General features: G+C 38.6%; 1 protein-coding gene across 4 annotated transcripts in view, besides 1 other annotated feature; it reads left to right on the top strand.

Moving 5' to 3' along the window:
- XPR1 (xenotropic and polytropic retrovirus receptor 1) overlaps nucleotides 1-24,381 on the top strand; it is a 258,258-nt gene that overhangs the window by 75,470 nt on the left and 158,407 nt on the right. The gene's annotated exons all lie outside the window — the stretch shown is intronic.
- Nucleotides 3,340-4,040: an enhancer, noted in NCBI's record as "H3K27ac hESC enhancer chr1:180679967-180680667 (GRCh37/hg19 assembly coordinates)". NCBI's record gives its function as "activates a minimal SCP1, AML or CMV promoter by ChIP-STARR-seq in naive H9 embryonic stem cells {active_cell/tissue: H9 hESC(naive)}" and the evidence as "EXISTENCE:reporter gene assay evidence [ECO:0000049][PMID:30033119]".

The following is a 24,381-nucleotide window of genomic DNA, read 5'->3' on the forward strand; positions in this document are numbered from 1 at the left end:
TCCCTGCTGTCCTTTGGACTTGAGAGATTCTACCTTTTTAAAGTACCTACATAACACTATCTGAATAGGGCTGTGGAATATAGGCAGACCCAATTCTCCCCTGTTCCTGTTTATAGATTTTGTGTTGTGAACCTAGAAGGATTGTGCTTCCTGATTTTAGTTTTCTTTTTCTTGTCTTTACTGCAACTCTCCAGAAAACCTACAGAATGTTTATTGGAAACACCTTGGTAGAAGAGAAGTGTTGTTTGTTGTAAACATAAATCCTAATCTTTTGTGCAAAATATTTTAGAAATATTTTAACTTTTATTTCTTAGTAAGAGACCTTTCAGGGTCCTGATTATGGTTGTGGAGATCTTTATTATCCATTACTAATTTTTCTCATTGTTTCTTTTTGTCTTTTTGGAGGTAGTGATATTGGTGCTGAAGTAGTGATGTGAGGATGATGGCAGTAGTATTTCTAATTAGCATTTCTTGTTGAGGTCTTTTAGAACGCCTAGTTGGAAATTTAAATAAAACAATTAGGTCAAATGAATTTAGAAAAGCTGAATAGACTATTTAGGCACAATATTCGGCCAATATGAAAAAACTGGAAAAAATAGATACATGATTTTTAATTAGCTGCGTGATACTGTTTTTAGATTAATAAGTAAAAGGAAGTTTAATTGAACATCTATTACAAATAGGAGTTTTCAGAATTTTCAGGTGGATGTAATCAGTAGCCAGTGGTTTTTGCCTACTGTTTTTGTGGATAGTAGCATCTGACTCTCATGTCATCTGTGATTTACAAGACTGCATCTAAAGAAGTATGTTCAATTTCCTGTTTTTGTTTTGTTTAATAAACACTTTGTAATTCCTTACTATGTGTGTTTGAGGTGATGAAAATTTTGGAGATAATAGTGATGATGGTTGCACAACATTATGAACGTACTTAATGCCATTGAATTGTACTCTTAATATTGGTTAAAATGGTAGAATTAATGTTATATATATTTTACCACAATAAATAAAAGGCAGGACAAATTTTATCAGTAAATTTACGTTTCTGGAAGATTTAGTTCTAAAATTTTTTAGTGGAGATTTTATTGCAAGGTGATTTTTTTTTTTAACCTATATTCCTGGCATAACTGACTCCTATTTTTAGCCCTAAATATTCAAAAGAACAGGAAAACGTGACTCTGCATATGACTTTCCTTAAATATTTTTTGAATGTTTTATTTGAAATATCATGCAACTAAAAATTTCAAACTCTTTCATAAAGGTAATGTTTAATTTTTTATGTTGTAAAGTTAAATATTGTTTTTTAACAAAAATTTTCCCCAAAATGAAATGTCGAATTTGCATTTTTAAAAGATAATTTTTAAATCTTTATCTTCAGATAGCTGTAGTCTTATAAGCATGTAAAGTTTTTTTTTTTTTTTGGGGGGGGGGGGGCGGGGGCGGGGACAAGTCTCGCTCTGTCGCCCAGGCTGGAGTGCAGTGGCACGATCTTGGCTCACTGTAACCTCCATCTCCCAGGTTCAAGCAGTTCTCCTGCCTCAGCCTCCTGAGTAGCTGGGATTACAGGCGCCCACCACCACACCCGGCTGATTTTTGTATTTTTACTAGAGATGGGGTTTCACCATGTTGGCCAGGCTGGTCTCAAACTCCTGACCTCAGGTGATCCACCCGCCTCGGCCTCCCAAAGTGCTGGGATTACAGACAGGCATGAGCCGCCGTGCCCGGCCATAAGCATGTAAAGTTTTAAAGAAAAGCAGCTTTTATCTCTCCTGGTTAGTGTGTTTTTTAAACAGCTTTTTTGAAGTATAATTGACATTTAATAAACTGTATATATTTAAAGTGTGCAATTTGATAAGTTATGACATTTGTATACACTGGCGAAACCATAACCACACTCAAGATAGTGAACATATCCATCACCCCCAAGAGTTTCCTCATACCTTTTTGTAATCTCTGCTTCCCACCGCATCTCACTCTATCCCTTCTCAGTCAAACACTGATTGGCTTTCTTTCACTGTTGATCAGTTTACATTTTCTAAAGTTTTATATGTATTTAGACAGTATGTACTCTTGTTTGTCTGGCTTCTTTCAGTCAACCTAATTATTTTGAGATTCCAAAGTAGCAGTGCAATTTTACGTTCACTTAGAATGTGTCAATGTTTCATTTTTTTTCCATGTCTTCACCAATACTTGGTATTGTCAATCTATTTAATTTTAGTCATTACAATAGGAATGTGGTGTTACCTCGTTGTGTTTTTAATTTACATTTTCCAAATGACTAACGATATTGAGACTTTTCCTATTTATTTGCCGTTGGTATATCTTCTTTAGGAAAATGTTCAAATCTTTTGCCTATTTGAAAAATTGGGTTGTTTTTCTCCTATTCTTGAGTTTTGAGGGTTTTTTTTTTTTTTAATTTTTTTATTTTTATTTTCGAGATGGAGTTTTGCTCTGTCACCTAGGCTGGAGTGCAATAGCGTGATCTCAGCTCACTGCAACCTCTGCCTCCCAGGTTCAAGCAATTCTCCTGCCTCAGCCTCCCTAGTAGCTGGTACTACAGGCACCTGGCTAATTTTTGCATTTTTAGTAGAGACAGGGCTTCACCATGTTGGCCAGGCTGGTCTCGAACTCCTGACCTTGTGATCTCCCCGTCTTCGCCTCCCAAAGTGCTGGGATTACAGGTGTGAGCCACCACACCTGGCCTGTTTAATTTAGTTTTTTTTTTTTTTTTAATTGATCATTCTTGGGTGTTTCTCGCAGAGGGGGATTTGGCAGGGTCATAGGACAATAGTGTAGGGAAGGTCAGCAGATAAACAAGTGAACAAAGGTCTCTGGTTTTCCTAGGCAGAGGACCCTGGGGCCTTCTGCAGTGTTTGTGTCCCTGGGTACTTGAGATTAGGGAGTGGTGATGACTCTTAACGAGCATGCTGCCTTCAAGCATCTGTTTAACAAAGCACATATTGCGCCGCCCTTAATCCCTTTAACCCTGAGTGGACACAGCACATGTTTCAGAGAGCACCGGGTTGGGGGTAAGGTCACAGATCAACAGCATCCCAAGGCAGAAGAATTTTTCTTAGTACAGAACAAAATGGAGTCTCCTATGTCCACTTCTTTCTACACAGACACAGCAACAATCTGATTTCTCTATCTTTTCCCCACATTTCCCCCCTTACTATTCGACAAAACCGCCATTGTCATCATGGCCTGCTCTCAATGAGCTGTTGGGTACACCTCCCAGATGGGGTGGCGGCTGGGCAGAGGGTCTCCTCACTTCCCAGAAGGGGTGGCCGGGCAGAGGCGCCCCCCCACCTCCCGGATGGGGCGGCTGGCTGGGCGGGGGCTGCCCCCCACCTCCCTCCCGAACGGGGCAGCTGGCCGGGTGGGGGCTGCCCCCCACCTCCCAGACGGGGCGGCTGCCGGGCGGAGACGCTCCTCACTTCCCAGACAGGGCGGCTGCTGGGCGGAGGGGCTCCTCACTTCCCAGACGGGGTGGCTGCCGGGCGGAGGGGCTCCTCACTTCTCAGACGGGTGGCTGCCGGGCGGAGGGGCTCCTCACTTCTCAGACGGGGCGGCCGGGCAGAGACGCTCCTCACCTCCCAGACGGGGTTGTGGCTGGGCAGAGGCGCTCCTCACATCCCAGACGGGGCGGCGGGGCAGAGGCGCTCCCCACATCTCAGACGATGGGCGGCCAGGCAGAGACGCTCCTCACTTCCCAGACAGGGTGGCGGCCGGGCAGAGGCTGCAATCTCGGCACTTTGGGAGGCCAAGGCAGGCGGCTGGGAGGTGGAGGTTGTAGCCAGCCGAGATCACGCCACTGCACTCCAGCCTGGGCAACATTGAGCACTGAGTGAACGAGACTCCATCTGCAATCCCAGCACCTCGGGAGGCCAAGGCTGGCAGATCACTCGCGGTTAGGAGCTGGAGACCAGCCTGGCCAACACAGCGAAACCCCGTCTCCACCAAAAAAATACGAAAACCAGTCAGGCATCGCGGCGCGCGCCTGCAATTGCAGGCACTCGGCAGGCTGAGGCAGGAGAATGAGGCAGGGAGGTTGCAGTGAGCAGAGATGGGGGCAGTACAGTCCAGCTTGGGCTCGGCGTCAGAGGGAGACCGTGGGGAGGGGGAGAGGGAGAGGGGGGAGAGTTCTTTTTATATTTTAGATACAAGACCTTTATCAGATGTAGATTTTGCAAAGATTTTTCAAAAGTAGAGCTTTTAAATTTTGATGTAGTCCAATTTATCAGTTCTTTTGTGGATTATGTTTTTGGTCAAATCTTATAATTCTTTGCCTAATTCAAGGTCACAAAGATTTTCTCCTCTGTTTGCATCTAAAAGCTCTGTAGTTTTAGGTTTTACATTTAGGTCTGTGTCCATTTTGAGTTAATTTTTTGTATGTGGTGTGAGGCGTGGAACAAAATTCATTTTTTATATACACATATCAGTTGTTCTAACACCATTTGTTGAAAAGACCATCCTGTCTCCACTGTATTGCTTTTGTATGCAGTAGTTGCCCCTTATCTGCTGGGGATGCATTCCAAGACCCCCAGTGGATGCCTAAAACTGTGGATGGTACCAAATTATATATACAATATTTTTCTATACATTTATACATACATATGATAAAGTTTAATTTCTAAATTAGGCACAATAAGAGACTAACAATAATAAAATATAACAATTATAACAGTATGTCAGCATCATTACTCTTGCCCTTTGTGGCCATTAAATAAAATAAGTGTTACTTGAACACAAGCACTGAAGTACCATGATAGCCTGATAACTGAGATGGCTACTAAGTGACTAAAGGGTGTTAGTGTTGTTCCCTATACGAAGGGATGATTCTCATCCCAGGCAAAATGGAGCAGGAAGGTGTGAGATTTCACAGTGCTATTCAGAATGACATGAAAAAATCCCTATGAATTGTTTATTTCTGGAATTTTCTATTTAATATTTTCAGACAGCTGTTGACAATGGTAACCGAAACTGTGGAAAGTGAAACCATAGTTTAAGGGGGCTATTTTATTTGTCAAAACGTCATGCTGGGCACGGTGGCTCATGCCTGTAATCCCAGCACTTTGGGAGGCCGAGACAGTGGATCACCTGAGTGAGGAGTTCAAGACCAGTCTGATCAATATGGTAAAACCCCATCTCTACTAAAAATACAAAAATCAGCTGGGTGTGGTGGCGTGCACCTGTAGTGCCAGGTACTCGGGAGGCTGAGACAGGAGAATCGCTTGAACCTGGGAGGCGGAGGTTGCATTGAGGTGAGGTTGTGCCACTGCACTCCAGCCTGGGCAACAGAATGAGACTCTGTCTCAAAAATAAATAAATAAATAAATAAAAATAAAAAAATAAATCAGTTGTTCATGTATATGTAGGTCTATTTCTTGATTACTATAGCTTTAGTAATAGTCTTGAAATCAATTAGCATTGTTCTTATTCCAGCTTTGTTCTTTTTTTTTTTTTTTCAAAGTAGTTTTGTCTATTCTAGGTCCTTTGCATTTTCTTATGTATTTTGGAATACTCTATCCGTTTCTATAAAAAAAAGCCTGGTAAGATTTTTATTGGGATTGTATTGAATCTCTAGATAAATTTGGGGAAAACGTTGACATCTTAATATTTAATCTTTCAACCTGAGAGTAAGGTATATATTTCTCTTTGGTCTTCTTTAATTTCTCTCAGCAGTGTTTTGTAGTATATGGGTTTTCCACATCTTTAATCAGATTTATTTCTAAGTATTCAATTTTTTTTGATGCTCTTGCAAATGATACTGTCTTTCCATTTCAATTTCCAATTGTTCATTGCTATTATGCAAAAGTACTATATATATAAAGATTTTTATATATTGATCTTGTGCAAATTTGCTAAACTCACTTTTTAGTTACAGTAGCTTTTTAAAAATAGATTCCATCAGATTTTCTATATAGACCAAGTGTCATCTGCCAATGAAGACAGTTTTACTTCTACCTTTCCAAGCTGGGTGCCTTTTTATTTCTTTTACTTGCCTGGTTACGCTGGGCTGAATCTCTAATGCAATGTTGGGTAGAAGTGGTGTGAGTGGGCATCCCTTGTTTGCTGAGAGTTTTTATTAGGAGTAAGTAGACATTGGACTTTGTTAGGTGCTTTTTTCATATTTATTGAGATGATCATATAGCTTTTCTCTTTTAGTTTGTTAATGTGGCGAATTACATTGATTTTCACATGTTAAATTGACCCTGCATTCCTAGGAGAAACCCCACTTGGTCATTACATATCCTTTTTATATGTTGTTGAATTAGATTTGCTAAAATTGTATTAGAATTTTTACATCTGTATTTATATGGGATATTGTTCTCTAGAAGTCTTATAATGTCTTTGTCTTGTTTTGGTATCAGGGTAATGTTTACCTCATAGAATGAGGTAAACTAATGAAAAGAAAGAATTCTTTTCATTAGTGCGGAAGAGTTTGTATATATCTGGTATTATTCTTTTTAACTGTTTGGTAGAATCCACTAATAAAGTCATCTGGACCTGGAACTTTCTTCATGGGAAGATTTTAATAGGATTGTTTAGGTTATTGTTTTTTCTTGAGTGAACTCTTGATAGTTGGTATCTTTCAAGGAATTTGTCTATTTAATTAAAATTGTCAAATTTATTGGCTTAAAGTTATTTATAATATTTCCTTATTATCCTTTACATAGTGATAGAAGCTATAGCCTTGTCAACTCTCACATTCCTGATATTGGCCATTTGTGTTGTCTTCGTTCCCTTCCTCCTCCTTCTCATCCTTCTCTAGCATCATCATTATCAGTCTGGTTAGAGATCTATCAATTTTACTGTCTTAGTCATTTCCTTGATTTTTCTCTCATATTTTTTCCCTGTTCTCTCTCTCTCTCTCTCTCTCTCTCTCTCTCTCTCTCTCTCTCTCTCTCTCTGTCGTCTGTCTGTCTGTCTGTCTGTCTCGTCTCATCTTGTTGCCCAGGCTGGAGTGCGGTGGCACAATCATAGCACGCTGTAACCTCAACCTCCTGGGCTCAAGCATTCCTCCCATCTCAGCCTCCTGAATAATTGGGGCTACAGACGCATGCCACCATGCCCAGCTAAGTCTTCCATTTTTTGTAGAGACAGGGTCTCACTATGTTGCCCAGCCTGGTCTTGAACTCCTGGGCTCAAGGGGTCCTCCTGCCTTGGCCGTCCAAAGTGCTCAGATTACAGGTGCGAACCACCACACCTGACCCTGTTTTCTTTTTAATTGATTTCCTCTTCGATTGTTACTATTTTCTTCCTTCTTTCTTTGAGTTAATTTCCTCTTTTTCTAGTTTTTTTTTTAAAGTGGAAAATGTATTTCTGTTGCGACCCTTTTCTGTTGTTTGGCAATTTTAATCAGTGTTTTTGAAGAGAATGCTGATATACAGTAGTATGCTATTTAGAATCAATTTAGTTTATTAGCTGGAAAGAATAGCTGATATTCTGGAATGTTAGAATCCAAGAAGCTAAGATGGTAGCCTAAATATATTAAGATGTGGGCTAATTAAGAAAAATCTCAAATTCTCTGCTCAATACCAAAAAATCATTTAGGAAAATATGGGAAAAGGGAGAACAAGATTTTTAGTGCAGTATTGGTTAAATGTAGGCAGTAGCATCCAAAGTGCCTGGTTTGGATACTACTAAGTATATGGTTGTTTGAATGTAATATAGCCCCAGATAATCTAATCTGATGAAAATATTAATGTAAATAAAGTGTTCAGAAATAAGGAAGGTAATTATCTCACACTTCTTTACTGAATAGGCTACCTCAGGAATCTTGTATTTATTTATGAGCGTCACTCTGCTGGGTTTAGACACACTAGAATTCTGTTGGCCAGAGTAGGCAAATTTGTAAGTGGACAGACCATGCTATAACGAATCTTGGACTCATAGAATCTTAGAATGGATAAGGATCTTAGAGATTGCCTTATTTTTTATCATAGGAAACCAAAGCCAGGAGCTGTCTATTGGTTTATCCAGTGTTACACAAATAATTGGTGACAGTGTTGAAGATTGGATTTTCAGTTTCTGGAGGGCATTTCAGCATTCTTTCCACTGAACCATCTTGTCATCAAAATATAGTTCAGAAGAAGATTATAGGAGGTCTTGAAATTATCTGTATGGGAAAAGGTCAATGATCAACAATCAAGAGTTACAGAGAAGTTGTTTTTTTTTTCTTTATCTTTCTTTCTTTTTTTTGAGATAGAGTTTCACTCTTGTTGCCCAGGCTGGAGTGCAATGGTGCGATCTTGGCTCACTGCAACCTCTGCCTCCCGGAAGCGATTCTCCTGCCTCAGCCTCCTGAGTAGCTGGAATTACAAGTGTGCGCCCCCACACCCAGCTAATTTTTGTATTTTTAGTAGAGACGGGGTTTCTCCGTGTTGCTCACGCTGGTCTCCAACTTCCGACCTCAGATGATCAGCCCACCTCAGCCTCCCAAAGTGCTGGGATTACAGGTGTAAGTCACCGTACCCGGCTGAGAAGTTGTTTTAATGAAAGCTTCTTGAGCTATGTATGTGGCTCTCAATTCTTGGAGGTAGCCATCAAGGGAGTGGACAATCCCTAGAGTGGAATGTCATATAATAGATAGATCCATGTATCAGATAAACTTTGGGCTATATCAGCTACAGAGTTTTGGGGGGTTTTTTGTTTGTTTGTTGGAGCCAGGGTCTCACTCTGTCACCCAGGCTGGAGTTCAGTGGCGCTGCCTCGAACTACTGGGCACAAGTGATACAAGTGGGTGCCACCATGCCTGGCTAGTTTTTTTTTTCTTTTTGTAGTGATGGGTCTCACTATGTTGCCCAGACTGGTCTTGAACTCCTCGCCTCAGGTGATCCTCCTGCCTCAGCCTTGCAGAGTTCTAGGATTATAAACATGAGCCACTGCATGGCCTCAGAATATTTACCGTCTAATTTTCAAGCCTGTCTGATCTTGTCAAACTAACCTGTTTTGGTATCATCACTTTTCTTTATTGTTTACCTATTTTGTATTTTATTGATATCCACTCTTTATTATTTCCTTGCTCTGTGCTCTTTGGGTTTAATTTATCCTGCCTTTTCTGGTTTTTAAAAGTATAAGCTTTTGTCTCTGCTAAAATCTCTGTTGCTTTATTTTTGGCTCTTACCATCAGCCCTCTGCAGGTATAAATTTCAGGTTCTAAACTTCACACCTGATTGTCAAATTGGTAATGTTCTAGGCTAAGTGTCTTCAGAAAGTAAGTTCACCTCTCTTAAGATTCTTCCCCTCTGGAATTAGGTCTTTTACCTCTAGTTTTTGCTCTTTCAGCAGCTATTTGCTACCTTGAAACAAATGACTTAGGTATATTATTCAGTTTTCTGTTTGTTTAACTTGTAGGTGGTAGTTGGCCTCCAGGTCCTCCTTCTTGCCTGGAAGTGAACCCTCCTTAAATGGATTATTTTTCAATATTCAGTAATCTGCTCGTCTTCTAGAAGCTCATATTGATTCACAGAAGCAAGCCATGCCAAACACACGTAATTTTCTTTTTCCTTTTTTTGGAGATGGAGTTTCACTCTTGTTACCCAGGCTGGAGTGCAATGGCACAATCTCAGCTCACTACAACCTCTGCCTCCTGGGTTCAAGCGATTCTTCTGCCTCAGCCTCCCGAGTAGCTGGGATTACAGGTGCCTGCCACCATACCCAGCTAATTTTTGTATTTTTAGTAGAGAAGGTGTTTCACCATGTTGGTCAGGCTGGTCTTGAACTCCTGACCTCAGGTGATCCGCCCACTTTGGCCTCCCAAAGTGCTGGGATTACAGGCATGAGCCACTGTGCCTAGCCCTAATTTTCTTTTGAAGTTAGTTCTCTTAATTGAATAGGAGAATGTCATAGGCATAAAATTTAAGAAGACTGTTTTTTAAAACCTGTCATGCTGTTCTTGTGGAGGACCAAAATATACGAGATGAATGATAATATAGTTAGGAGGATTTGGAGCTGATTGAACAACTTATAACCAAAGAGTATTGACAGATTAGTGGCAGCCAAAAGTGTTTTTTTTCTGAACATGTACCTCAGAACTACCTGGGGATTGCTAAAAATATGCAAATACCGAGATCCCAGTCTATATCTCCTACATCAGAATCTTGGGTGTGGATTGGGAAATATTATTTTCAAAATATGTTTTTAGAGTCTGTGATGGAAACTTCTGGCTAAGAATGATGAATTAAATTTAGTGGCACGCTGGAACTGTCTCACACAAGATTATGATAATTGTCTTTATCTCTTCTCAACCCTGTGTTCACTGCTGGTAGCTTGAAATTGGCCATGATAGGAGTATTTACACTATAGAAATTGGCAAACCTGCCCACCACCCCAGGAAACATTTTCTAGCACACTACTATTAGGTTGGTACAAAAGTAATTGTGTTTTTTGTCATTGAAAGTAATGGCAAAAACCGCAATTACTTTTGCACCAACCCAATAGTTACATTTAATAGAATTGAATAGATATGAAGTTTAAAAAAATCTGTAGGATAGAAGAATGGTAGCATGATTACAGTTAATATAATCTAAGGGTTTAGCTGTTTCTTTGGTATGAGCCAGTAATAAGATACAACTTTAAAAAACATTAATGCTATGTATTAAGTTTTATACAGCAAAAAAAGGTGGTAGTACTACTGTGCAGAGCATTAATCAGACTGTCCTTTTCTGGAGTATTGGGTATTGATGATAGGTGCTGTGTTTTTAAAAGGTCACTGAACTTTTCTAGAAATGAGCCATCAATACATGGGAATGGGTTTGAAAATTGTTGTAAAGATAATGATTGAAGAAAAGTTTAACATAGAGTACTTAGGGGATACTTCATAGCTCTGATAATGAACAAAAATTAGAATCATTTTATGTGACCACATAAAATAGTATTTGGACCAGTGGGTATGGAGTGGCAAATTTCGCTTGTTAGAACTTTCACGTAGTTAAATTTGCCCCCAAATAAAATTGTTGGAGATGTCATTAAATTTTGGAATTGAATGTTATGTAGCTACCACATAGGGACATTAGGGAGAATTTTTGCATTTGGCAAGAAGAGGACTAGATCAGTGATTCATAACTGTGGTTGCACATTAGAATCACCTGGGCAACATTAAAAAACAAAAATCTTGGACAGACTGCATGCACCCTAAGCTGACTAAATCAGAATCTTGGGACTTGAGCATCTGTATTTTTTTTTTTTTTTTTGAGACAGAGTCTCACTCTGTCTCCCAGGCTGGAGTGCAGTGGCGCAATCTCGGCTCACCGCAACCCCTGCCTCTGGGGTTCAAGCGATTCTCCTGCCTCAGCCTCCCAAGTAGCTGGGATTACAGGTGCCCACCACCACAGCTGGCTAATTTTTGTATTTTTAGTAGAGACGAGGTTTCACCATGTTGGCCAGGCTGGTCTCAATCTCCTGACCTCATGATCCGCCCACCTTGGCCTCCCAAAGTGCTGGGATTACAGGCATGAGCCACTGTACCCAGCCGGATCTGTATGTTTTAAAGCTCTTCAGGTCATGATAATGTGCAGCAAAGTTTGTGAATTAGATTATAATGTATTTTCCAAATTAATTTTACAACATAATTCTGACCATTCAATGGTAACGCTTTGTTTTCCTGGAACAGATTTTGAATGATCTGCATTTGTAAAATACATAGAAAACCTGGGATATATAAATACCAAGGAAATGTACAGACATAGATTTATTGAACCTGAGAACAGAGATTCTAATTCTGGAAACACTAGTTAAATGTTTATGTGATAATTTCATAATGATTATCAGTAATTTATTTAAAGTCCAATATGATTAAATAAAAATGCATTTTAAAAATTTATGAAACAATAAAGAAAAAAGTTGGAAGTATATTTAGAATTTTATTTCTTAGGATTAAAATGTGACTGATGATATTGGCATCAGTTGATGACATTGGCAAAATGTTAATAATTGTTGAAGCAGAGCATTGGACATGTTGGGGCTTAGAATATTATTCTCTGTACTTTTTGCTTTATTAGTTTTGAAATTTCAATAAAAAGTTGACCTTTGTTCTTGCAGCAATTTAAAGATGCTATTCTGTTGCTTTCTGGCTTTGGTATTTTCTTTTTTCCGCCTTCTTTTATTTTTAGTTGATACTTAATAATTGTACATATTTGTGGGGTACAGAGTGATATTTAGATACATGTATGCAATGTGTAATGATCAAATCAGGATAGTTGGGTTATCTGTTACTTTAAACGTTTTATCACTTCTTTGTGTTGCGAGCATCTTAAAAAATCACACATTTAAATTAGCTGTAATGTAGAGAAAATGATTAGATAAATAATAATCCTACCTTACATAAACTGTTCAGTCATTTCATCTCATTTTAAGTTAGATGCTCTTAAGTATTCTCTTTTGAGCAAATAAAACACTGGACTTATAACAGGATCTGACATATCTGAAAGATAAGATTGGATGGGTATGTTAGGGCTCTGTCTAGTAGACCAAAATGTTTGAATTTGATATTTAATGAATATTGATGTGTTTTAGCATCTTTCTAATTTTTTTTTCTTGGGGATTAGTAGAGCCAAAATATTTAGAATGGTTTACAACAAGGTAAGTGGTTCTGACAGAAAGAAGAAAAGCAGGGAGCAGGGCCGGGGGCGTGGGGGTGGTGTTACGAGATAGGAGAGGGGATGCTTTTAAAAAAGAAGGTGGTAATAAAGTTCATTGGGTTATCTTTCAGTAATTATTAAAAATAAAAAATAATTAAACCAAGGCAGAGTGCCTTGGAGAATAAACCTGATTATGAGGGATGGCAAATGTAATAATATATTGACAAAGGGTAGAATTTCTAGACTTTCAAATTCCATTGTCTTAAAACAGTTGGTAATGTGACAGTTCTTTAGCCTTTTTGGAAGTTTTGCTTTTTTGGTAGAGATACAACATAAAAGACTTGAGGAAATAGGTCATGGTAATTATCTGTCATCCAGTAAAAGAAATTTGAAAATCATTGATGTAAAGCAGCATTTATAAATTGATGAATTAGAGTAATTATAAATTGATGAATTAGAGATATGGTTTTATATGGCATGAAAAATGAATATTATAATTTAATATATTACTAGAGTAGCGATTTTCAAAGTGTGGTTCTTAGACCAACAGCATCACCTGGGTACTTGTTATAAATGCTAATTCTTGGACCTCACCCCAGATCTACTAAATCAGAAACTTCTGGGGTGGGGCCTGGCTATCGGTGTTTTAACGAGGTCTTCAGGGGATTTGAATGCATGCTTAAGTTTGGAAACCATGGATTTAGAATACTATTGCCTTTTGTTGTACCAGCCAATAAATTAAATTTTGTGTATGCTTTCTATTCAAGAGTTATGTGCCCTTATCATGCCTTTATATATATCTCCATATCAGTATGTATAAAAGAATCAGAGGGTAAAATGAGAGCCTTTTGTGGTTAAATGTCATTCAAATTTAGAAGGAGGCCAGGCGTGGTGACTCATGCCTGTAATCCCAGCACTTTGGGAGGCTGAAGCAGGCAGATCACTTGAGATCTGGAGTTCAAGACTAGCCTGGCCAGTATGGTGAAACCCCATCTCTAGTAAAAACAAAAATTGGCTGGGACGTGGTAATTCCAGCCACTTGGGAGGCTGAGGCAGGAGAATCGCTTGAACCCCGGAGGCAGAGATTGCGGTGAGCTGAGATTACACCATGGCACTGTAGCCTGGGTGACAAGAACAAAACTCTGTCTCAAAAAAAAAAAAAAAATCTAGAAGGAAATTCTCCCATTTTACACTGACATTGGTGAAATCCAGGTTGAATATTAGTGTTTTAAATAAATTTATCATATCATTTTTTCTTTTTGGTGCCATTTGTTGACATTTAGCTAACAAGTCTGAGAGTGTTAGATTTGACAGACTGTGGGTTGACTCAGGTGGTTGTTCTTAATTGGTCTGGAATGTCAGTTGACATAAAATATTAAAGTAAGTTTTGAGAAAAGGGAAGAAAGAAATTGTACCTGCCTTGGATTTGAGCCAGGATTGAAACCGTCATTTTACTCCTGGCTATGTGGTTCATGGTTTGAAAGTCATTGTCCTACTATATGTAAAACATGTCTTTCTAAAATTTACATTTTGTTATACAGTTGACCCTTGAGCAACATAGATGTGATCTGTGCAGGTCTACTTATATTGGATTTCCTTTCACCTCTGCCACCCTTGAGATGGCAAGACCAACCTCCCATTTTACTCTTCCTCCTTTTCCTCAGCATATTCAATGTGAAGTCATTGAGGATAAAGATTTTTATAGTAACCACTTCCACTTAATTAATAGTAAATATATTTTTCTTACGACTTTCTTTTCTCTAGCTTATTTTATTGTAAGAATACAGTATATAATACATGAAACATACAAAATATGTGTTAATCGACTGTTTATGTTACTACTAAGGCTTCTGGTCAGCAGAAGGGTATTAGTAGTTAAGTTTTTGGAGAGTCAAAAGATGTACGTAAGGCCAGGCTTGGTGGCTCCTGCCTGTAATCCCACCACTTTGAGAGGCTGAGGTTGGCGAATTGCTTGAGCTCAGGAGTTGAAAACCATCCTGGGCAAGGTGGTGAAACTTCGTGTCTACAAAAAATAGAAAAAAAAAATTAGTCATGTGTGGTGGTGTGTGCCTGTATTCCCAGTTACTCTAGAGGCTGAGATGGGAGGATGGCTTGAGCCTGGGAGGTCAAGGCTGCAGTGAGCCTCCCAAGTAGCTGGGATTACAGGAGCCCGCCACCACACCCGGCTAATTTTTGTATTTTTAGTAGTGACAGGGTTTCGCCATCTTGGTCAGGCTGGTCTTGAACTCCTGACCTCGTGATCTACCCGCCTTGGCCTCCCAAAGTGCTGGGATTACAGACATGAGCCACCGCGCCCGGCCCTTAAAATGTTACTTTAAATTAACATACACACTCAGTTATATGTTTTGATTTTATTTAGAACTTTCATTTTAAGACAAGACTAAGTGAAATTGTAGAAATTAGTTGAGAAATGAGACTGTGCATTTCATATTGGCCTGTGGTGTAAAATGATCTGACATATAATGAAACTTAGTTGAATACAAATGTTATTTTATCAGTTTTGTTTTTATCTGATAAGTTAATTTATAGTTATTAACCTTGATTTGACTGTCCTTTTGAAAAATCTTGCCTAAGAAAACTAAATGATCATCAAAACACTGGTCTTAAAATAGAGTTCAGGCTGTTTTTTAGCTTGATACAGTTGTCTCTCTTGCTTTGCTTTCCTTCTGAAATGATGTTTCCATTTTGGGGACTGGGAAGAGCATGATTATTTATAGACTAGTGTGTTTTGGACAGGTGGTATGTTTACACAGATCAGTGGAATTATTTGTCCCCCAAGACCTTTAATATGAATGCATTTCATTTTATCACTTTTTGTAATTAAAAGAGCAAAATAATTATGTGGGTGAGTAGAGAACATCGTCTTTAATTTTGTATGTTAATGCAGCAGGTGTCCACTATATATTAGGAATTTTTCAGAGATTTGGGGTTACCGATAAACCACATAGCTTTGTCATTGAAAAATTTTAAAGACCATTTTTGTATCTTCTTACAGAGCATACAACTTACAAATATCTCTCTGTCCTCCCCGTTTCGGCTTTGTTTGATAGAAGTGTTCTAGGGAGTCAAACCCTGTAGAAAATTGGAGCATTCATACATTGCTGAAACTTTCTATATTACATTTTATATTTTAAAAATTAAAGTTATAAAGTAACCATTAGCAATACTGCATAACAGAAACTTTACAACTTAAAATACTTCTGAAATTTAGCATGTGCACATATTTTTGAGATTTACAACTATTGTTATATTAATTATGTAGGTAACGTCAAAGTTATATACTCCAATTATTATACCAGGGCCTTTTTTGCCATAAAAGGTACCAAATCAAAGCATCAAATGAAATTCTTTCAGTCAATCTATATATGTTAGCAGTTTTCTCTAGTAAAACTCTACATAAAGAACTGCTTTCTTCCTTATAGCAGGAACTACTTTCATTTTATTCCTTTTTGAGAGCCCCTGCCTCTTGAGAAAATGCTTCCCATCTGGTTAGAGACTAGATGACATAATATAGTCCCATTCAGAAAGATATTGATAATAAAATAGTCTCTTCCTTTTCTCTTCCCTTACCTGTCTTCAACTCTTCTGGAACCTCCTCTCTGTCCTTTATCTGTTATGCCCTGGTGATCCAGAGCCATCTTAATTTTAAAATTCTCCATCATATTTTTTATTATATTGAATTAACAATTCATTCTAGGGTCATCCAGATACATCATTTACCAGGAGAAGCAGTTAGCTTGCCTCTTGAGATATTTGGCCGTTTCATTATTGTGTCACATGGTTGAAAACCTTTCTTTTTGGATGTTGTATATGACCATTAGTGCTTTTCAGTCTTTTCTGTTCTTACAGTTCATATTTTTACCTTTCTTTTTGCAAACAAAGATGGAGAGAAGAGTAAATTAAATACTCTTCTGAATATGTTAATACTTAGTTTAATAAAAAACCAGAATTACATCCCAATTTCTGGAGATGAGAAGGTAGTCAAAAAAATGAGTAAGCTATGGTCCTATAGGGGAGAGAATAGATTAGAATACTTATCTAATGTGAGACACATGTTCTAAAAGAAAAGAGAATCAAGTGCTGTCAGAATAAAAAGGTGGCATACTGACTTGAGGTGAGTTTGGGATATCAAAGAATATCTAGAGGAGGTGACCTTTGAGCAGGGCCTTGAAGCAGGGCCAACTTACCCATTAAGCACAGTAAGCACAGTGCCTTGGGCCGATGCTATTTATAGCAGCCCATAAAATTCACTTTAATTTTAATTAATTTTTACAGGAGAAAAAATGAGTATAATAGTAATGAATAATGAATCCAGCCTGAATTATATTTGTCTTCATATTAATGAAGTTGTAAAATATAATTTTTAATATACAGTATTTTTAAATGGAGGAAGTGACTTACAGAGGCAAAAGTGCCTGGGACTTGGAAAAGTCGTAATGTAAACTGCCTATAAAGTTAAGTAAGGGTTTGTGGGTGTAAGGGGCTAAAGTTGGCAAAATGTTAAGTAAGAAATTGATAATTAAACAACAAATTCATTTTAAGGAGTTAAATATATATGGTTTCTTTTCCACGTGTTGCCACTCATTGAAGCACAACAATGACCAGATAAACGTTATTTAGCTAGAACTAATAACACTTGATATGCTGAGCAAGAAAGATGCCTTCAGTCAATGAAAAAGTCATTGTATTGAGAGGTAATATCTGCTTTAATATTTCCTCAGTTATCAATTTAATATTAATTTGTAAATATTATAAGATGTATACATCATTGGTAACAGAAACATAGTTAAAATGTGGTGGTATGGAGAATATATTTTTGATTCTAAGAAGTGCTGCAATTTTTTGTTTCCACAAACCCGTCGCCATAAAACTCATACCATAGCATAGAATGAACCTCCATGGTGAAACAAGGATTGAACATTTCAGACCTTAACTTTATTCATGGTTATAAACAATAACAAAGTCTATAGGTGGTACTGAGTAAGGATCCCTAAAGGTATCGTACACATTCAAAGTGTAAGTTAGCAATACTGAGGCTTCCCTTTCTCAAAGGGTAATCTGTGAGGCATCTGGAGATTCTGGTTAAAAATCTTAACCATACCCAAGATTTATTGTAGCATCATTTTAGTGGATACATCCTGGAATAATGTGCATTTTAAATGTTATTTTTAAGGACTCAAAAGTTGGAGAACCAGTAAGATAGTGTGAATTTTTTTTGAAGATCTGACTAATCTTCCTGATGAAGGACACTGAGAGAGTATAGGGACAGGGAGTAAAGGGTAAAAATTTGGGGGAAAAAAAGGATGTGGAGTGATTTAGTGGTAGGTGAACACTATTGCACTATCACCCTGACATGAATAAAAAAGCCCCATCTCTATCCATTAATCTTTTATGACTTCCAAACCTTTCTAGTATTGTTGTACTTAATTATTTTTTATCCTTCACTGTTTGGCTTTGCTTCCCTCAGCTGAATTATAAGCTAATTAAAGAGAAACATATTTTTGCATTCTCTTGCAAAAGACTACACATAGTAACTGCTTAAACTGATTTTACTGAATAAGAACAAATTCACCGAAGTCTCATTGAACTTACCTAGATATACTATCTCTCATTTTAACACTTTTGTTGTAAGTAAATCTGAATTTCCCCTGGCATCTCTTGCTTTAAGAGGGGATACTGCAAAGTAGCTCCAAGTGTGGGCTTCAGTGTCAGAAAACCTGGATTGAAATCCTGGCCCCACTCCTTAATTGCTATGTGCCCTTAAGCAAGTTTTGTACTCTTTGAACCTTAGTGCCCTCAACTATGACATGGCCCTGATAGTATCTACTTCAAATTATTATGAGAATTAAATGAGATAATGTATGTTAAATGTTTAGCATAATGCTTGGCATAAAGTACTCAAATGTTAGTGGTTCTGAGAGGTGAAGCCAGCTGGACTTCCTGGGTTGAGTGGGGACTTGGAGAACTTTTCTGTCTAGCTAGAGGAGTGTAAACACGCCAATCAGCGCTCTGTGTCTAGCTAAAGGATTGTAAATGCACGAATCAGCCCTCTGTAAAAAAACACCAATCAGCGCTATGTGTCTAGCTAAAGGTTTGTAAATGCACCAATCAGCACTCTATAAAATGGACCAGTCAGCACTTTGTAAAATGGACCAATCATCAGGACGTGGGTGGGGACAAATAAGGGAATAAAAGCTGGCCACCCCAGCCAGCAGCGCAACCTGCTTGGGTCCCCTTCCATGCTGTGGAAGCTTTGTTCTTTCTCTCTTCACAATAAATCTTGCTGCTGCTCACTCTTTGGGTCCCTACCACCTTTAAGAGCTGTAACACTCACTTCGAAGGTCTGCGGCTTCATTCTTGGAGTCAGCAAGACCAAGAACCCACTGGAAGGAACCAGCTGCGGAAACTCCGGACACAGTTCTGTTTCTTATAAGCCAGCAGTTATCAAAGTGTTATCCATTCACCCCTCTTGGGGTCCCTGAGACTGAAAACTGTTTACATAATAATACTAAGACTTTATTTGCCTTTTTCACTCTCATTTTCTTACATGTATAAAGTGGAGTTTTCCAGAGGCTAGCAGAAGCAGATGTGAGAATCCAGCTTCTATTAACCCAGACATCAGAGAGATTTGTACAAATGTAAAATAATGCCACTCTTCTCACCATTTTGGAGGGAGGTAGAGGGAATACTTATTTTTGTAAAATAGAGTCATTTATGTTAACATGTAATGGATTTATTTTTGTTTAAGTTGATAGGTGAATATTTTTAAATGTATGTTTTCTTTCTTTTTTTTTTTTTTGAGATGGAGTCTCGCTTTGGCGCCTAGGCTGGAGTGCAGTGGCGCGTTGTCGGCTCACTGCAAGCTCCGCCTCCTGGGTTCACGCCGTTCTCCTGCCTCAGCCTCCCGAGTAGCTGGGACTACAGGCGCCCACCACTGCGCCCCGCTAATTTTTTTGTGTTTTTAGTAGAGACGGGGTTTCACCATGGTCTCTATCTCCTGACCTCGTGATCTGCCTGCCTCAGCCTCCCAAAGTGCTGGGATTACAGGCGTGAGCCACCGCGCCTGGCTTGGCCGTATGCTTTAATCTCTAATATGATGAAGAACAAGAAATAATACAATGTAAGTGGGATATAGGATGCCTGAAGCGGTTATATTGTAACTGTTACCAGAAAGGGGTCCTGATCCAGACCTTAAGAGAAGGTTCTTGGATCTTGCGCAAGAAAGAATGTGAGGCAAGTCCATAGAGCAAAGTGAAAGCAAGTTTATTAATATAATAAAGGAATGTCACGCTTGTAATCCAGCACTTTGGGAGGCCGAGGCGGGCAGATCACCTGAGGTCAGGAGTTCGAGACCAGCCTGGCCAACATGGTGAAACCCTGCCTCTACTAGAAATGCAAGAATTAGCCAGGCGTGGTGGCAGATGCCTGTAATGCCAGCTACTTGGGAGGCTGAGACGGGAGAATCACTTGAACCCAGGAGGCAGAGGTTGCAGTGAGCCGAGATCGCACCATTGCACTGCAGCCTGGGTGGCAAGAGTGAAACTCCATCTCAAAAACCAACCAACCAAACCAACAAAAAACGAAAGAAAGTAAAGGAATGAAGGAATGGCTGCTCCATAGACAAGAGCATACTCAAGGGCTGCTGGTTGCCCATTTTTATGGTTATTTCTTGATTATGTGCTAAACAAGGGGTGGATTATTCATGCCTCCTCTTTTTTAGACCAGATAAGGTAACTTCTTGATGTTTCTATGGCATTTGTAAACTGTCATGGTGCTGGTGGGAGTGTAGCAGTAAGGATGACCAGAGGTCACTTTCATCGTCATCTTGATTTTGGTCGGCTTCTTTACTGCAACCTGTTTTATCAGCAAGGTCTTTATGCCAGTATCTTGTGTCAACCTCCTATCTTATCCTGTGACTTAGAATGCTTAACCATCTGGGAATGCAGCCCAGTAGGTTTCAGTCTCATTTTACCCAGCCCTTATTCAAGATGGAGTTGCTCTGGTTCACACGCCTCTGATATCACCAGTCTTTCTGTAAAGCAAAAGGATTTACATTTAATATGTATTCAGGAGCAATTTTAAAGAAAATTAAGGTGTTTTAAAAGATATGGATGATTTAGGAAAAAGTCTTGGAGACAGAAAATATGAATGAAAAAGTAACACTGGTATATGGCGGTAGTGAGAAAAAGGAGTTGTTTATAACTGGGGGGGGGGGTAGTAATGAAAACTATGTTGATGGGGCTACAAGCTGTGGGCAGTGAGAGAGGATACCACAAACTGATACCAGCCAGCTATAAAGACTTGAAAGGAAAATGCAATTACTTAGAGGAACTGCCGGAAACAAGATCATAGGTGATATTTATCCTCAAAGTCAGTACTTTTCAGACTTAATTGGACAGATGTATCATCTTGGATCTTGTTAAAGCGCATATTCCGATTAACTAATTCTCAGGTGGTTCCTAAGATTCTGTATTTCAAATAAGCTCCCAGAGGCTGCTAAAACTTTAGGCATCACTCGATAAGTCATATATGCACATTAGAGTTTGAGAAGCATTGCTGTATGTCATTATTTTACAGGTGAGGTAATGGAAGCTCAGAGACCTTAGTTGACTTGCTCAGTATTCCAAAGCTTGTGAGAACAAAACCTGGATTCGAATACAAATGGCCTCATATCAGACTTCACATTGTTTCCCTAATTTCTTAGAAACATGGAATGCCAAAATTAGGAATTACAATAATTGTTAAATTAATTTTCAGGTTTTTTTTGTGGAATGTTTAGGTTCAGAGATACATGTACAGGCTTGTGATATGTGTCATAGGGGTTTAGTGTACAGATTATTTCATCAGCCAGGTAATAAGCAAAGTATATGATAGCAGTTTTTTGGTCCCCACTCTCCTGCCACCCTCCACCCTCAAGTAGGCCCCAGTGTTTGTTGTTTTCTTTGTGTCCATGTGTGCTGAATGTTTAGCTCCTGCTTATAAATGAGAACATGAGGTATTTGGTTTTTTGTTCCTGTGTTAGTTTGCTTAGGATAATGGCCTCTAGCTCCAGCTATGTTCCTGCAAAGGACATGATCTCATTACTTTTCATGGCTGGATAGTATTCCATGGTGTTATATGTATCACATTTTTAAAATCCAGTATACCATTGATGGGCATTTAGGTTGATTCCCTGTCTTCGCTGTTGTGAATAGTACTGCGATTAACATATGTGTGCATTTGTCTTTATGGTAAAACATTTTATATTCCTTTGGGTGTATACTCAATAGTGAGAATGATAGTTCTGTTTTAAGTGGCAACGGTAGTTCTGGGTCATTCCCAATAGTGGGAATGATAGTTCTGGGTCAAATGGTAGTTCTGTTTTAAGTTCTTTAAGAAAACACTGAACTACTTTCCACAATAGTTGAACTAATCTACATTCCCACCAGCAGTTTATGTGTTCCCTTTTGTCCTCAACCTCGCCAGCATCTTTTATTTTTTGACTTTTTAATAATGCCATGCTGACTGGTGTGAGATGGTATCTCATTGTGGTTTTCATTTGCATTTCTCTAATGAGTGGTAATGTTGAGTATTTTTTCATATACTTGTTGGCCATGTGTATATCTTCTTTTGTAAAGTGTCTGTTCATGTCCTTTGCCCACTTTTTAATGGGATTATTTGTTTTTTGCTTGTGAATTTAAGTTCCTTATAGATTCTGGATATTAGACTTTGGTTGGATGCATAGTTTGCAAATATTTTCTCCCATTCTCTAAGTTATTTACTCTGTTTATATTTTCTTCTGCTGTGCAGAAGCTCTTAGTTTAAGTCCCATTTGGCAGTGTTTGATTTTGTTGCAATTGCTTTTGGCACCTTCAGCATGAAATCTTTGCCGGGGTCTATGTCCAGAATGGTATTTCCTAGGTTATCTCCCAGGGGTTTTATTGTTTTAGGTTTTACATATAAGTCTGCAATACATCTTGAGTTGATTTTATATATGGTGTTAGGAAGGAGTCCAGTTTCAGTCTTCTGCGTATGGCTACCCAGTTATCCTAGCACCATTTATTGAATAGGGAATCCTTTCCCCATTGCTTGTTTTTGTCAACTTTGTCAAAGATCAGAGAGTGTAGGTGTGCAGCTTTATTTCTGGGCTCTCTATTCTCTTCCATTGATCTCTGTGTCTGCTTTTGTACCAGTACCATGCTGTTTTGTTTACTGTAGCCTCATTGTATAGTTTGAAGTTAGGTAATAGGATGCCTCTAAGTTTCAAGTTCTTGACTTTCATTTTCCAAAAGAAGGATTTATAGAGAAACCTTTATGATGAATTTGTTTATCAGTATATTAGCAAATATTTATTGAAACTGTGTATTCTACACATGAAATATATATGACACAAATTCTGCCTCCATTAAGCTTACTGTTTAGAAGAGGTGTTAAGATTTACATGAATAATTTTCCCCCTATATTCCATACTTAAAGTTTCCACCATTTCCTGAATGTGCCAGAGTCTGGCAGCCAGGCTCTATCACAGCTACTTGCATTTGCGTATTAAGCCCTTCTCCTTTTGGCAAATTTTTCCCCCACTGTGTTATTTCTTTTTTTGTTTGTTTTTTAGATAGGGTCTCACTCCGTTGCTTAGGCTGGAGTGCAGTGGCACAATCACAGCTCACAGCAGCCTTGACATCCATGCTCAAGTGATCCTCCCCCCTCAGCCTCCTGCATAGCTAGGACCATAAGTGTTCACCACCATGCCCAGCTAATTTTTTTTTTTATTTTTTGTAGAGATGAGGTCTTGCTGTGTTACCTAGGCTGGTCTTGAACTCCTGGGCTCAAGCGATCCTCCTCCCTTGGCCTCCTGGATCAAAAACTTTCTTCTTTAAAAATTCATTGCAAATATCCTTGCTTTGGTGAATCTTTGTGTATTCAGGTGATTCTCTGTTCCCTGCATCTGTAACACTTCATTCATTACTCTAGAATTTGTTACATTGTATTAATATATTAGGTTATTCAGATAATTAAAGTGGTTATGATATACCATTTTACTAGTGCCTAGTTTAGAATTATTGGTGTCGATCTGCACCATTCAATAGAAATACAATGTGAACCACATATGCAGTTTAAAATTTTCTGTAGGTAGACTTTTAAAAATAAAAAGAAGTGTTACCGAAACACCAGAGGTTTGGTCTAGGTCCTGCTGCTTGCCACACAGAAAGCTAATCACTAATAAAAGTATTGCTAAGGAAGAAGGCTTTAATCAGGTGCTGCGGCCGAGGGGATGGAAGCTCAGTCTCAAATCCATCTCCCTGACTGACTAAAACAAGGGGTTTATATAGCAGGGAAAAAATGTAACAATATGTAAGAAAACAAGAACTAGGGAGTGACAAGGAGGCCTATGGTGCTGTGATCTGGTGAGTTTCAGTTCTTTGATACCTTTTTTTGAGAGACCTGAAAGTCCTTTCCTGAGGAACTCAGATAAAACAAATACAAGTGTCAAGCTTTAACAGCAGAAGGGTTAATTTCTATGTCCATCCAAAAGAACAGTCTGTGGGAGTATTGGGCTGGTTTCAGAAGCAAGGTGAAATTAAATTTAATACTATTTTATTTAACTCATATCCAAAGTATGATCATTTTAACACATAATCAATATAAAAATTATCAATGAGATAGTTTACATTTTTATGCTGTCTTCAAAATCTGCTGTGTTTTTAATTCTTAAAGCACATCTCAATTTGAACTGGCTGCCACATTTCAGGTATTCATGTAGCTAGTGGCTGTTGTATTGGACAGCACAGATCTAGAGCTT

The sequence above is a fragment of the Homo sapiens genome, chromosome 1 (assembly GCF_000001405.40).
Source record: "Homo sapiens chromosome 1, GRCh38.p14 Primary Assembly".
NCBI lineage: Eukaryota > Metazoa > Chordata > Mammalia > Primates > Hominidae > Homo > Homo sapiens.